This window comes from Homo sapiens, chromosome 4 (genome assembly GCF_000001405.40).
Source record: "Homo sapiens chromosome 4, GRCh38.p14 Primary Assembly".
Classification (NCBI taxonomy): Eukaryota; Metazoa; Chordata; class Mammalia; order Primates; family Hominidae; genus Homo; species Homo sapiens.
This window is the reverse complement of record NC_000004.12, coordinates 78,382,623-78,397,714: the sequence shown is the minus strand read 5'-3', so window position 1 is coordinate 78,397,714 and position 15,092 is coordinate 78,382,623. Positions and strand designations below refer to the sequence as shown.

The following is a 15,092-nucleotide window of genomic DNA, read 5'->3' as shown; positions in this document are numbered from 1 at the left end:
ACAGTAAGGAACAGGGAAGAGAAGCAGAGGCTTACAGTAACCATTGTGTGGATCTCAAAAAACAGCTGCAGATCATACTAACTGGCTAATGGGCTCCACCAAGAGCCTTGCTCACAAATTCTGTAAGATACCTCACCTGCAGATACACACACTAGCTAACAAGTACCCCATGACTCCATGCACCCCCTCCCATAGCCAGCACCCCACACTCCCCTGAAGAGAGTACATTCAGGCTCTTCGGATGGTGCACATGAGCCCATGCAGACAGCAAACACACACATCAACAGTCCCCTGACTCTGCTGAATTGGGTAGAAGGCACGCAACCTTGATTACTTCAGGGAACTAACATGAGGAAAATAAAGGCTCTCAGCACCCTGCTTGATGGTGCAGGATCAAGAGAAGACATACCATCATAAGACTGCCCCTGAAGGGGGAACAAGAGGAGTGAAACAGGCACATACAGAGAAAGTTTCAGAAAGCCTTCAGATCTTTAGTTTGGTTGACTAGTAAAGGTCTTTCTCTCCTGAAGCCAGGCAATAAAGGCTGGAGTAGGTAACCACTTTTTCAAATGCAAACACAGTGATGCAAGCCTTCAAGAAACATGAAAAGGAAACTAAGAAACATGATACCACCCAAGGAACAAAATAAAACTCCAGTGGCTGACCCCAAAGAAATGAAGATTTGTGAACTGCCTGACAAATAATTCAAAATAATCATCTTAAAGAAGCACCGTGGACATCTTAAAGAAGCACAACAATCTTAAAGAAAAGTAGATGACTAAACAAACTCAAGAAAACCACACATAAACAAAATTAAAGGTTTGACAAAAGACAGAAATCTTAAAAAGAACAACTCAAATTCCAGAGCTGAAGAATACAATGATTGAACTGAAAAATTCAATAGAACACTTCAACAGCAAACTCCATCAAAAAGAATGAATCCACGAACTCAAAAGACAGATCATTTGAAACTATCCAGTCAGAGGAGTAATAACAACAAAAATAAAAAAGAATGAACAAAGTTTACCGAACTTATGGGACACCATCAAATAAACCAGTATAACCTATTACGGAAATTCCAAATGAAGCAGAGAAAGAGCAAAGGGCAAAAAGCTATCAGTGGATTGCTCAGCAGAAACCTTGTTGTTTTCTGACAGAATGAGATGATATATTCGAAACACTTAGAGAAAAAAACTGCCAATCAAGAATAATTTACCAGGCAAAGCTGTCATTCAGAAATGAAGGAGAGAGAAAGCCTTTCCCAGACAAAGGCTGAGGGAGTTTGTTACCACTAAAGTCCTGTCTTACAAGAAATGCTAAAGGAAATTCTTCAAGTTGAAATGAAAGGACATTAATTAGCAACATGAAAACACATTAAAGTATAAAACTCACTGGAAAAGCTAAGAATATAATCAAAGTGAGAATAACACTGTAATGGTGATATGTAAGTCAGTTTTAACTCTAGTGTAAAAGTTAGAAGAAAATGTATTAAAAGTTACTATAACTACAAATTCTTTAAATGAATACATGATATAAAAAGATATAAATTGTGATGCCAGTAACATAAAATGATGAGGGTCAGGGAGAAGTAAACAGTTTTGTATGCAATTGGAGATAAGTTAGTCATCTTAAAATAGACCATTATAAGATATTTTATGTAACCCTCATGGCAATCATGATGAACAAACCTGCAGTAGATACACAAAAAATAAAGAGAAATAAATAAAAACATACCACTACAAAAAAAAATCATCAAATCACAAAGGCAAACAGCAAGAGAGACAGAAAGGAAGACAGGAACTACAAAACAGTCAGAAAACAACGAAATGGCAATAGGTAAGTTCTTACCTATCAACAATTAAATGTAAATGGATTAAATTCTCCAATCAAAAAACACAGAGTGGCTGAATGGACAGAAAGTATGATCCAACTATAAACTGCCTGTAAAGAGATTCACTTTAGCTTTAGGGAGACATATAGGCTGAAAGTGAAAGGATGGAAAAATATATACCATGCAAATAAAAACCAAAAGAGAACAGAGATGCCTATATTTATATCAGGCAAAATAGCTTTGAAGTCAAAAACATCACAAGAGACAAAGAAGATATTATATAATGAGAGGTTAATCCATCTAGCAGATATAATAATTGTAAATATATATGCACATAACATTAGCACACCTAGATACATCAAGCAAATGTTAACAGAACTGAAGGGAGAAATAAAAAGCATTGCAATAATGGTAGTGGACTTCAATACCCCACTTTTAACAATAAAGAGATCATCCAGATAGAAAATCAATAAAGAAATCGAGGACTTGAATAACACTATGGAACAAATGGACATAACAGACGTATATAGAATATTACATATAACAGCAGCAGAATTCATATTCTTCTCCAGCACATATGGAACATTCTCCAGGTTAGAACAAATGTTAAGCCACAAAAGATGTCTTAACAATTTAAGAACACTGAAATCATATCAAGTATCTTCTTTGGCCATCCCAGCCAGAGCAATTAGGCAACAGAAAGAAACAAAATGTATCCAAATTGGAAAGGAAGAAGTTAAATTGTCTGTATTTACAGACACCATGATCTTATATGTAGAAAACCCTAAAGATTCCACCAAAAGACTGTTAGGACTAATAAACAAATTCAGTAAAATAAAACCGACATGCAATATGTGTTTCCATATACTAGCAATAAACTCTTTGAAAAACAAATTAAAGAAAGCAATCTTATTTATAATAGCATCAAAAGAATAAAATAATTAGAAATAAATTTAACCAAGAAGGTGAAAGATATGCCAATGAAAGCTATAAAATATTGGTGAAAGAAATTGAATAAGACACAAATAAATGCAAAGATATCCCATGTTTATAAATTGGAAGAATTAATATTATTAAAATGTCCATACTACCCAAAGCAATCCACAGATTTCATGCCATCTCTGTCAAAATTCCAATGGCATTTTACACAGAAACAGAAAAACAAATCCTAAAATTCATATGGAACCACAAAAATCCCCAAATAGCCAAAGCAATCTTGAGCAAGAACAAAGCTGGTGGCCTCACACTTTCTAATTCCAAATTACATTACAAAGTTATAGTAATTAAAACATTACAGTTCTGGAATAAGAACAAATACATAGACCAGTGGAACAGAATAAGGAGCCCAGAAATAAATAAACACATTTATGACCAACTATTCTTCAACAAGAGTGCAAAGAATATAAAATAAGGAAAGGAGAAAAGAATAGTCTCTTCAATAAATAGTGTTGGGATAATTAGATATCCCATGCAAAGGGATGAAATTACATCATACACAAAAATCAACTCAAAATGGGTTAAAGACTTAAACAGAAGACCTGAAACTGTGAAAGACCTAGAAGAAAACATAGGGGAAATTCTCCTTGATATAGGTCTTGGCAACTATTTTTTGGATATGGCATTGAAATCACGGGAAATAAAAGCAAAAATAAACAAGCAGGATTATGTCAAACCAAAAAGCATCTGCACAGCAAGGGAAATAATCAACAAAATGAAAAGGCAACCTATGGAATGGGAGAAAATAATTGCAAAACCAATATCTCATAAGAGGTTAATATTCACAATATATAAGAAACTCCTACAACTCAAAAGCAAAAAAATTCAAATAATTTAAAAATGGGGAAAAAACCTAAATAGGTATTTCTCCAAAGAAGGCATATAAATGCCTAACAGGTATATGAAAAGCATACATAATCATGAGAAAAAGGCAAAGCAAAACTACCTCACACTTGTCAGGATGGCTAAAAAAAAGGTAAATGTTAGAGAGGATTTGGAGAAAAGGGAATCCTGGTACATTGGTGGGAGGAAAGTAAATTGTTACAGCTACTATGAAGGCTCCTCAAAAACTTAAAAACAAACTACCATATGATCAGCAATCACACTTCTGGATATACATCCAAAGTAAATGAAATCAGCATGTTGAAGAGCTATCTGCACTTCCACGTTCATTGTAGTATTATTCACAATAGACAAGATACAGAATCAACCTAAGTGTCAATCAATGGATAAATGAACATATAGTGGAATATTATTCAGCCTTAAAAGTGAAGGAAATCCTGCTATTTGCAACAATATGGAAGAAACTGGAAGACATTATGCCAGGCAAAATAAGCCAGACACAGAAAGACAGTAACTACATGATCTTGCTTATATGTGGAATCTGAAATAGCCAAACTCATAAAAGCAGATAGTAGAATGGCAGTTGCAAGGGGCTGGGAGAAAGGGGAAACGGGGAGATGGATGGTCAAAACGTAACTTTCAGTTAAAATAGACTATTATAAGATATTTTATGTAACCCTTATGGTAATCATGAAGAAAAACCTGCAGTAGATACACAAAGGATAAGTAAGTCCTGAAGACCTACTATATAGCATAGTGCCTATGACTATCAATACAATATAGTATATTTAAAATGTGCTAAGATAGTAGAGCTTATGTTACCACAAAAAATAAGTAAATAAATACATAAAATTAGTAAACAAAGCAGGAGAAAACTTTATGAGGTTAGGAAAATGTCAAAGACCTGGATAGTGGTGATGCTTCCATGCCTATATACTTATCCTCAAACTCAAGTTGTATACATTAAATATGTACGGCTTTTTACATGTCAATCATTCCTCAATAAAGTAGGGTTTTTTTTAAAAAAAAAAAAAAAGGAAGAAGCATGAATCTTCCCACTCATCATGATGAACATGTTTGTTTCTTATTGTTTTCTTTTGGAGAGGATCCAGGGAAGATTCAAGAAGAGATGGATAGAAGGGTATATATCATCTTTTCTACATTTAAGGTGTCCAAAAAGCCTAATTTTAACCTAATTTCCCCAATGGTTCTGACATTTTGAATTTTTTTATCTCCTCATATTTTTTTTTCTGTACATGATGTATATATCCCTGCCAGTTCAAGAAATTAGTTATATTACCAACTGAATGCCCAGTAATGTTTTATAGATCCTCCAGAGGACCACATTAGCAGGCAATAAAATCCCAAAAAGTAAAACTGGGGGCATGATTAAAACAGCGCTTTAAATTAAATAGTTCTTCTAATTCATTTCATAGAACAATAGGCATGCAGAAATGGTAATAAAGCTTAGCCATTCCATATCATATTACAAATAAAAATATTAATGTTACAAACCAGAAATAATGCCATAAGCCTCCATCTTTTGGAGAAAAAAAATCTCACAAACACAATGAAAACTTCCCCCCAAAATTAAAGGTTGAGTCATAAATGAAGAAACGTTAGCTGAAATGATAATGTACTCTAACCCCAGGCCAAAATATTCAAGATAAAAGTTTTAAACCTCACTAAATAGAAAATGACTAATGTTGAATGTAACAGTGACCTTATAATTTTACTTGTTCTGTAAAAATATACCTTAATTTGCAAGATCTCATTTATATCATAGCTATTAAAATTTAATCTCATAGGACACTGTGGAAAAAATCATGTGGGGTGGTGTGGTGAAATTTACCAGCATAAAGAAAGCAGGAAAGATAATTGGACTGTTTCTGTGTTTGTCAATGTGTATATGAGCCCCAGAAGCTTGCTTTCAGGTCAAGAATATAGAACCCTTGCTCCATGTAGATTTCAACCAGTATATGTATATTTAAGGAAACATTTTCTGATTATGCACCTTATGAGATACTGAATTGAACAAGCTAATCAAACCCCCCCAAAAGGTGAAACCCTCATATATGGCAAGGATTTAGTTATTTATGATATAGGCTCTTACTCATAAGAAATAGACATTTTATGCCATTGATATTTGTAACTCTCATAAATGTCACTATTATCAAACCAACTGTGTCCCTGAAAGACAACCAATGAGAGGTAGGCATTAATGAAATTGAGGGAAAACACCACAGGGCTATTTATCTGTACACAGGCCTTACTACAGATAAACAGCCAGAGAGGACTCTCAGCAATAGAATTTTCCATCCAGTTCCTAGCATGACACTTGGGGACTTTTGACATTAAAGGATTACCCAGTTGCAGAAAATACTGCTCAAAGAGTAACAAAGAAGTTCAGAAAGATCATCAGATGTATTGCCAGAGTGGAAAAAAAAGGCATGATTTCCAGAGGTATCTTAATTAATGAAAAAGAAGACAATTCCTTGAAACCCCAGTAGTAGACAGAAGCCCACCAGTAAGTATGATTTTCCCCTGTCCACATTTTAGCCCTCATTAAATGTCAAATTGCTTTAGAATCATATCTGCAGCAGGCTTGGGTTTAGTAATCCCCCCAATTAATGAAAGCCTGTTCAGCAACGCATTCTTTATTACCTTTTAATCTGTTTTAATTCTTTTGCCTCCTTCCCCCAACAGAACATGTTTCAACATCAGTCCTGGTTATATTTTCTCCTCAGCAACTCAGTATAAGGCTGGAGGTGGCAGTCAAGTTTATTCACTATCAGGCCAAAGATAAAAACTTAAGTTTGGGGGAAGTGATGTAGAACTTGGAAAACAAGGGTTGAACTGACAGCTCCTCTACCCATTCCCAGGTGGGCTATCACAGAGGTGCCCCAAGGGCTTCTCATCTGATGCAAGAGATGAATTGGAAGGCAGGAACACAGGCACCAGCCTCACTCAAGCCATTGCATCCATCCATTACCCATCCATCCAAAAAAAACCAAAAAAGGTACTGAACTCCTACGATGTGCTCTGCTCAGGGGAGTAAGACTGGAATAGTCCCTGTTCACACAAAGCTTCCTTTTTCTATCCCTCCCTAGTTACCTTGACAGGTTGTGTTTTCTGTTGAATATCAGGAGTAATTCGTACATTCATTCACTAGGAATTAAACACAAGCCACTTGGCCATTCCATTTAAACTATCAGCTCACTCCAGGTTTAATAACTAGGTAGCCACAGGGTAAGAACTTACATGCCCATCTTCACTAATGGCTGTTAGAATGAATCAGTCATGTCTGACAATGCATCTACAAGAAGCCATAAGAGTTGAGGCATTTTTTTCTTCTTGGGCCTGGAAGACTTAATGATTATAAATACTCTCACTTGTAACAAGATACAGTGAGTTCAGAGGAAAGATTACAGAAGGCTTGGGGCCCAGCTTGGATAGAACATTGAGAAAATGACTAAATTACTGTCTTTATTCTATCCATCAAGGGGATAAGAATATATATGACCAACACACTGAAAAACACTAGCTGGAATGAAAAGAGTCTCATGGTTAAATGTAGGAGGCAGACACACTTGAGATGAAATCATAGCTCCAGCACTAAGTATCTTTATGAAAATGAATGTTTTTGAACCTCTTTGTGCTTCAGTTTCCTCTTTTGGAAAATTATGGATAATAACTGTACAAACATCACAGAGTGATCATGAAGATCAAATGGAATAATTCCCATCAAGCTTTAGTGCCTAACATCAAAAACAAAACAAAAAACTTCCACCCATAATAGAATCTCCATTAGAAAAATTAAGGTCCCATAGCCTCTACTCTAACCTTCTTCCCCAAGACATTGTAAAGATCAGTAAAAGAGATATAAGGAAAAAATATTTTGAATTCCTAAGAGGAAAAATAGTACACATTTGTATAATGTTGCCAGTATTGCAGTCAGATGTATTATTAGTACATCCTGATGAATGCTGAGGCTCTGGTCATGGGTTTCATTATTCCAATCCATGGGCAGGTAATCACAGCAATACAGGAGAGAGGGATGAAAAGGGGCCCAGAGCACAACTTAAATTCACTTTTCAGGTATCACAGACAGACATAGAAAATACCTACATGACTCACAAGTCACAAGGATCCCAAAACTCTGTGTCTTGTGCTTTATTTATGAATTAAATTTCCATTTTTCTTGGTTTTGTTCTGGTAGTCAAAGCAGCTAAAACCCTAGAAATGTCCTTCCATCTTGGGCCATTCCACACAAAATGGTTGTGCAACACACTGAACTGAGCTCCAAACGTGGAGATGGAAGCCACAATAGGAAAGGCAGCTGCTAGGGTGGCACTGAAATCCTCTAACAACCTTTAGAAAGAAACCAAGAACGAAGAAACAAAAACTTCTCTCTGTCTAGACTTCATCTGTCCAGAACTAAACCTCATCTCCCAGGGCCATCGCAAGAGTGATAATTAGGATGAGTTGCAAGGTGGCTATCTGCCAACTCCATCTCATCATCAGCTTTCACTCACTCCCATCTCTCCTATGCCACCTTCACTGCTTTCAGCAGCTGAAAATAACGAGACAGGAAACTGAGAAATTACCTAGCAGATCATATTAGATTCAGCTGTTCACCTTCATGAGGCTCAATCGGATCAATCGCAAATTTTGAGTGATCACTGATGAGAAAGTGACAAGTGGTTTTAAACTGTCCTCAACAAACCAGTCTCTCTAGCTAGTCATTAATGACACCTCAGTAGGCAGTGATATTTGAAATAAAAGGTTGTTTAAGATTTATGTTTCCCAATCTACTACCATGAGAAAGAGCCATTCTTGATGCAACTGAGTAAAGGGCATCCAGTGAAACATCAACTAGTTTTGAAAATGTTTTTCGTGTCCCTTTGGTCTAGCAATGGCTCAGCCTAGTATTTCCTAAAGTGTGAGAGCCATCTCATTTGCAGTGTCCAAGAACATTTTCAGTAGCATATGGACAAAATGTTGTAGAATGGTTATGTATTATTTTTCATATTTTAGAAAAAAAGTATAATTCTACATTAAGCCCATGATTTCATAAGTATTATTTATTAAGATGAGGCTACAATAAAAAGTAAGTTGATACAAAGAAAAATATTAAGTAAATAATAGTACAGGTGCTTGTGGATATGGCGAAAACATAAAAAGGTGGCATGTCAATGACTCAGGCTGAGCAAAAATGCTATTTATTTATTTATTTAGAGATAGGGCCTTGCTCTGTCATCCACGCTGGAGTACAGTAGTGTGATCATGGCTCACTGCAACCTGGAACTTCTGGGTTAAAGTGATCCTCCCACCTCAGCCTTCTGAGTAGTGGAGACTATAGGTGCATGCCATTGCACCCAGCTAATTTAAAAAAAAAAAAAAAACTTTAGTAGAGACAAGATTTCTCCACGTTGCTCACGCTGGTCTCAAACTCCTGAGCTCAAGTGATCCCCTTACCTCAACCTCCCAAAGTGCTGAGATTACAGGCATGAGCCACTGCACCTGGCCCAATGCTCTTTATTGGCTCCTACTCCCTAGGGCAAAGATCCCTAGGATTACCAAAAGAGTTTGCTCATCCTACTTTAGTTGAGCTAACAGAATGGCTGAACTCAACGTTTTTGAGTCATTCAGATTATCTGACTATGAACTTCACATTTGATGAGCTGGGTTTTTTTTGTTTTTTTTTTTTTTTGGTTTTTGAGACGGAGTCTCTCTCTGTCACCCAGGCTGGAGTGCAGTGGCGCGATCTCGGCTCACTGCAAGCTCTGCCTCCTGGGTTCACGCCATTCTCCTGCCTCAGCCTCCCGAGTAGCTAGGACTACAGGCACCCGCCACCACGCCCAGCGAATTTTTTGTATTTTCAGTAGAGACGGGGTTTCACCGTGTTAGCCAGGATGGTCTTGATCTCCTGACCTCGTGATCCACCCACCTCAGCCTCCCAAAGTGCTGGGATTAGAGGCGTGAGCCACCACACCTGGCCTCATGAGCTGTTTTTGAGGGGCAGATAAAAACAGAAATATCTTGATTCTTATGGTTATGCTCAGGCAGGAGACAAAAGGATTAGTGGATAATAACACGTTCTTATGGCAGTACCTCAACAAAAAAGGTTCAAAAGTGTCCCAATTTGTAGAGAACATGGGGACAGGTCTTTCAGATCAAGGGTGCTCCTAACTAGATATATAGTGCCCTCTATATAATAGGTTATATTTGAATAAGTGAATGACTACCCATATCTTAACTTTGTGAGTATCATAAAATAATATCAACCGTAGAAGTTCACATCTAGGTGCAAAGAAACTGTAACTCTAGGAATGACACCTACCTGAGGCACGGTCTTCACTTGGAACAGTATATTATGGAAGGAGTGTCCATCATTGGCCTGCAAGACTGCAACATCGGATGTGCTGTCTGAACCATCATGAGCATAGTGGAGAAGGCCTCTAGAGAGTTCATCCAGCTGGAATTGATAGATAGGGGTTGCCGGGGACTGAAGTGTCTGAAGCAATTGGCCATGAAGTGGAGGATCGATTATTTCAATGACCACATCCTGTGGGTTGTCATCATCTCGGATGTCAAGCATCTGGGTGGTGATGGTTGCCCTCTCTCCTCTGCTAATGTGGAGAACTTCATTTCTCAGCACATAGGGGGCCTGTGGAGTTGAAGGGAAGAAGAGTCAGTTAAGAGGGAAAGAAAGGACAATCCAGTGGACTAGATACCTGATTGTTATTCCTATACTTTTTGAGAAACTCTAAGTGTTCTAGCAAAGCACCAAACTGTTCTATGGTGAACACATTCGTCAGAGGTGTGGTCACTCACAGGAACACAACAACTAAGGTTACTTCACACCTCTGGGTTCTAGAGGTTTATCAAGCTACTTCAAGACTTGAGAGACAACTGGTGAGAGCTGCTAGCTTCTAAATCTCTAATTTCTCTGCTATCCTGACTTAAATTTATCCCAAAAGAGACTAATAAGAGGTATGAAATTTTTGGACTTGCCTTTGGGAGGACACACTTCACTCCAGGCCATGTTGTGGTATACTGACTCTGAGGAAGCTACTTTTGCATCCTGAGCTCATGCTGTTTCTAGTCCCTCCCAGTAATTTTCTTCAGTTTTCTCATCCAAATCTTGACAGAGCCCCACCCCAACTCAGGTTATAAAGTGTGCCAAGATTATGGTCTAGGTGAGTAAGGCAACCACCTGGCTAATTCATGTGACAAGGCTAATATATTATAGTAAAATTTAATATCTTTTTCTTAGGATTGTCAGGTTACCTCCCACCAAGTTGAGTAAGCAAATAAAATGTTATTTCATAAAGATAAAAGCTAATGAACCACAACAGAAAAAAAACTCACCCAAAAAAATTGAGGCCAGAAGCCAAAGAAAATATTATTTCAGTTTTTAAAAAAATATCATTTGAAGTGGAACCATCTAGGACTTTTCTCAACACACTGCTTTCTTTAATCCAAATGGCTTTCTTTTAAAACTACCCAAGCACCCTCCTGGCCTCCTGGAAATTACAATCTCTATTAAAGGAATGTCTAATACATCACTATAATAGTTACATAGTGGGAAATTAGATGATAGTTAGTCTTTAGAATTCTCAAGTGAGAATTCTACAGCTGTGATTCTATACATGGGAAAGAGTGACCCCTCCTACTCTGAAAGAGGAAAAGTCAAAGATGATGTCAAAATTCACAAATGGAAAAGACGAAATTAACTTGCATGAGAAAATTTCAGAGAGGCTCAAGACCATATTGCAATGTCACAGAAATTTAAAGGAATGAAAATAAGTTAAAATGATTTTCTAAAATTCCATTTTAAAGACTTAAAATGATAAAAGTTTCTCATATAATAAATAAAATTAAATGTTCTCCTTATTTACTCACTTGATTGTGGAAAAACACACAAGCCACACTTGGGGAACCATGGGAACTCACCATGTCAGATTAGGAAGACTTGCCAATATCTACCTTTGATCTTTCACTGGAGTAACTTTATTAGCTCAAACAAAAAGAACGAAACAAAGTTTCTGAGTGTAAGGACTGAGAAACATCTAAACCAGTAAGTTGTAAGACTGGATGTAGCCCTCTGTCCTAAATTTACAGAGATCACCTGTTTCAGCTTTTTTTTTTTTTTTTTAGACAGAGTCTCACTCTGTTGCCCAGGCTGGAGTGCAGTGGCACGATCTCAGCTCACTGCAACCTCTGCCTCCCGGGTTCAAGCGAGTCTCCTGCCTCAGCCTCCCGAGTAGCTGGGATTACAGGTGTCCACCACCATGCCCGGCTAATTTTTGTATTTTCAGTAGAGACGCGGTTTCACCATGTTTGCCAGGCTGGTCTCGAACTTCTGACCTCAGGTGACCATGCATTTCAGCCTCCCAAATTGCTGGGATTACAGGCATAAGCCACTGAGCCCAGCCTGTTTTAGTTTTAATTAAAACAAAATTTATATATTTTGCCCACCCATGAGATCAAATTAACTTAGGATCATTTTCAAATCATTAAACTCCAATTTATCCCTGATGTGATAATACCATCAAGAAGAGGTGAACTGGGCTATTAATACCATTTTGCAGCCACCACTGGTTCAAGTCTATGTTGTTATCCATGATCCTTTCATTTTTGGACCAAAGATATAAAAACATCAGATGAAAAACAATCATCTAGTGTCCTTCCTTGAATCATGAATAACATGATACTGAGATCTGGATATTTAGCTAGTCTTGGTTCCCCAGGAGAATATTCCACTCTCTTGCTTTTCATAACATATGAATATACCTATTTCCCTATTCTTCATACATTTCGGCTCTTCAATCCCTCAAGCCCAGTTTCTAGAGCAGCTACAACTATATGTATTCTGGACCCGTAAGTACAACTTGATGGAGATGAATGATGAGAGGTGAGTTTGAAGGGCCATCACACTGAGCTTTATAGCATCTACCATGACTTCCTTATGTCTGTGTTTTGTTGATGGCCACACTGGCACACTAGAGCCTCATTTAAGTAGATCCTTAATAATATTCTCTAACTGCTGCAAATTCCACATACTAGAGAGAGATAAAACAAACTCCTTTACCTAAAGATAAAGACAGTCTTTTTTTTTTTTTTTTTTTTTTGAGACAGGGTCTCACTGTGTTGCTCAGGCTGGGGCACGGTGGCATGATCGTCATTCATTGCAGCCTCAACCTCCCTGAGCTCAGGTGATCCTCCCACCTCAGCTCCCCAAGTAGCTGGGACTATAGGAATGCATCACTGGGCCCAGATAATTTTTTGTATTTTTTTTTTTTGTTTCGGTATAGACGGGGTTTCGCCATGTTGCCCAGGCTGGCCTCAAACTCCTGGGCCCAAGCAATCCACCTGCCTCAGCCTCCCAAAGTGCTGAGATTATAGGCATGAGCCACTGCACCCTGCCAACTATTTGGAAGGGCTGGTAGCAGATTTAGTATAGTAAAGTTATGCGTCATAATATAACGGTTAAGAACACCGCCTCTGTAGCCAGATTTACTGGGCACAAACATTGACTCCCTATTTATTAGCTATATTACCACAGACATGTTATGTCGCCTTCTTGTGACTTTGTTTCCTTGTCTGTAAATTGGAGACAATAATACCTCATAATATTGGCATAAGGATTAACTGAGTTACTTACGTGAAACACTAAGACTATAACACTAAGTACTAGAGAAGTATTAGTAATTTTGGTTGCTGCTGTTGTTATTACCCAGAAGTCCTAAAAATTACTCCAGTGGCATCTCAAGAGGAAACCAAGACTAGATTAATTTAATGCAATAATTTTCATTAAATCCACAGGAAACCTAGATTTCGTGCTTGAGAACTAGTAGTCATGTAAAATTATTAATTACGTGGCCATTTTTATTACCTGTGTTGAAAATGCTTGTATGTTGATCAGCTGTGGCTCAGAGAAGAACTGCTGGTCACTAATTTTCAGGAAAAGGTAACCTTTCCTAAAGAAGTCCCAAAGAAAGGAATAAGAAAATACAATCATTACATTAGACTTTACACAGAAAAGGCTTAAAAACATTTTCAGGTTATGTGTAGGTAAGAATTTGGATCAAACTGCTGCAGTAATGTCACACTCATACTATAAAGAAAAAACTACCAGATAAAGATGAACATAGTAAGATTCAGGTAAAAATACTGTGTGTTCTTAAATCTCCTTATAACAATAATAATAATTATGTAAACATTTTGTTTCCTATCTTTCTAAACTGAATAAAGGGTGAAAAATTAGTTGTCAGGCCAAGGCAGATTAGTAATATATTGTAGGCTAATGGTTAAATTGAAGAATTGAAAGGAATCTTTTATAGTCTCTGACCAGTTCTCCACGATTCCCTCTTCCCAACAAATGCTCTTCCTAACTCCTGCCCAATTCATGTGAGTGGGCCCCTAGTAACAACATTTGCAATGTCTGTATTACACGGCTGTTCATCTCCCCTCACTCCCCACCAGCCTACTCATAGTCATTGTGGACAGACTAGGGAAGGATGGCTGATTCTTCCCTGGCGATTTGCAACTGGCCCGAGAGCCAGCAGTCAGTCTCAGCATCTGACTACAGGACAACCAGAGTCTATTATGTAGAACAAGCCTGAGTGTAATAGAGAAATGAATGAAGCCTATAAGCAAATATAAGCAAAGAGACACAGGGATGAGAGAAGAATTGATTCCTGCTTCCCCTTCCCAGTCCTTGCTTCCAGACTGTCCTGGAGCACAATTGCCCTTGGTGCCTTTGAGATCTGAGCCACCCCTGCAATGTTATAACAAGTCTTACATTTTTGCTAATCTACTTCAAGTTTACTTCCATTACTTGCAACCAAAAAGTCCCAATTAGTAATAAAATAAGCCGTTGTTCAAGCAGCTTCAGAGACTGCTAGGAGGGAAGGTAAGACTTACCCACCTTCAATGCCAAACCAAGCACAGAACTCGCTGCTGAATGGTAAGATATAGGACTACTGCATTATGGGGATTTTTGAATTCTAGTCTACTAGAGGGACCATTGTTTTAAAAGTTCTTTAGAAGTTATTCTTGGAACTACTATTTATACATGAAAGAATGTGGATGGATCTGAAAAGCATTATGGCAAAAGACAGAAACAAAAGGCTACATATTGTTTGATTCCATTCACCTAACATTTTAAAAAGCACAAAACTCAGCAGTAAAAATGGATCAGTGGTCACCAGTGACTAGGGGTAAAGGAGCAACTATAAAAAGACTTTTGGGGTTACGGAACTATTTTACATATTGACTATGGTTGTGGTCACAAGACTGCGAAACTGTATACAGTTATTAAAATTTATAGAACAACACACTTCAAAATGGAGGATTTTATTGAATGCAAATTATACCTCAATAAACGTGATTGCTTTTTAAAAAATGATTCTTG

The 15,092-nt window shown here is 37.5% G+C and overlaps 1 protein-coding gene across 2 annotated transcripts in view; it reads right to left on the bottom strand.

Annotated features, from left to right (window-relative positions):
* The window catches only part of FRAS1 (Fraser extracellular matrix complex subunit 1), a 486,947-nt gene that overhangs the window by 146,555 nt on the left and 325,300 nt on the right, over positions 1-15,092 (bottom strand). For both annotated transcript variants that reach the window (NM_025074.7, NM_001166133.2), the window contains exons 28-29: positions 13,572-13,656; positions 10,014-10,340 (exon numbers count right to left, since the gene is read on the bottom strand). In NM_025074.7, coding sequence (NP_079350.5) covers positions 10,014-10,340; positions 13,572-13,656 — 412 coding nt within the window. The remainder of the gene's footprint in view (positions 1-10,013; positions 10,341-13,571; positions 13,657-15,092) is intronic.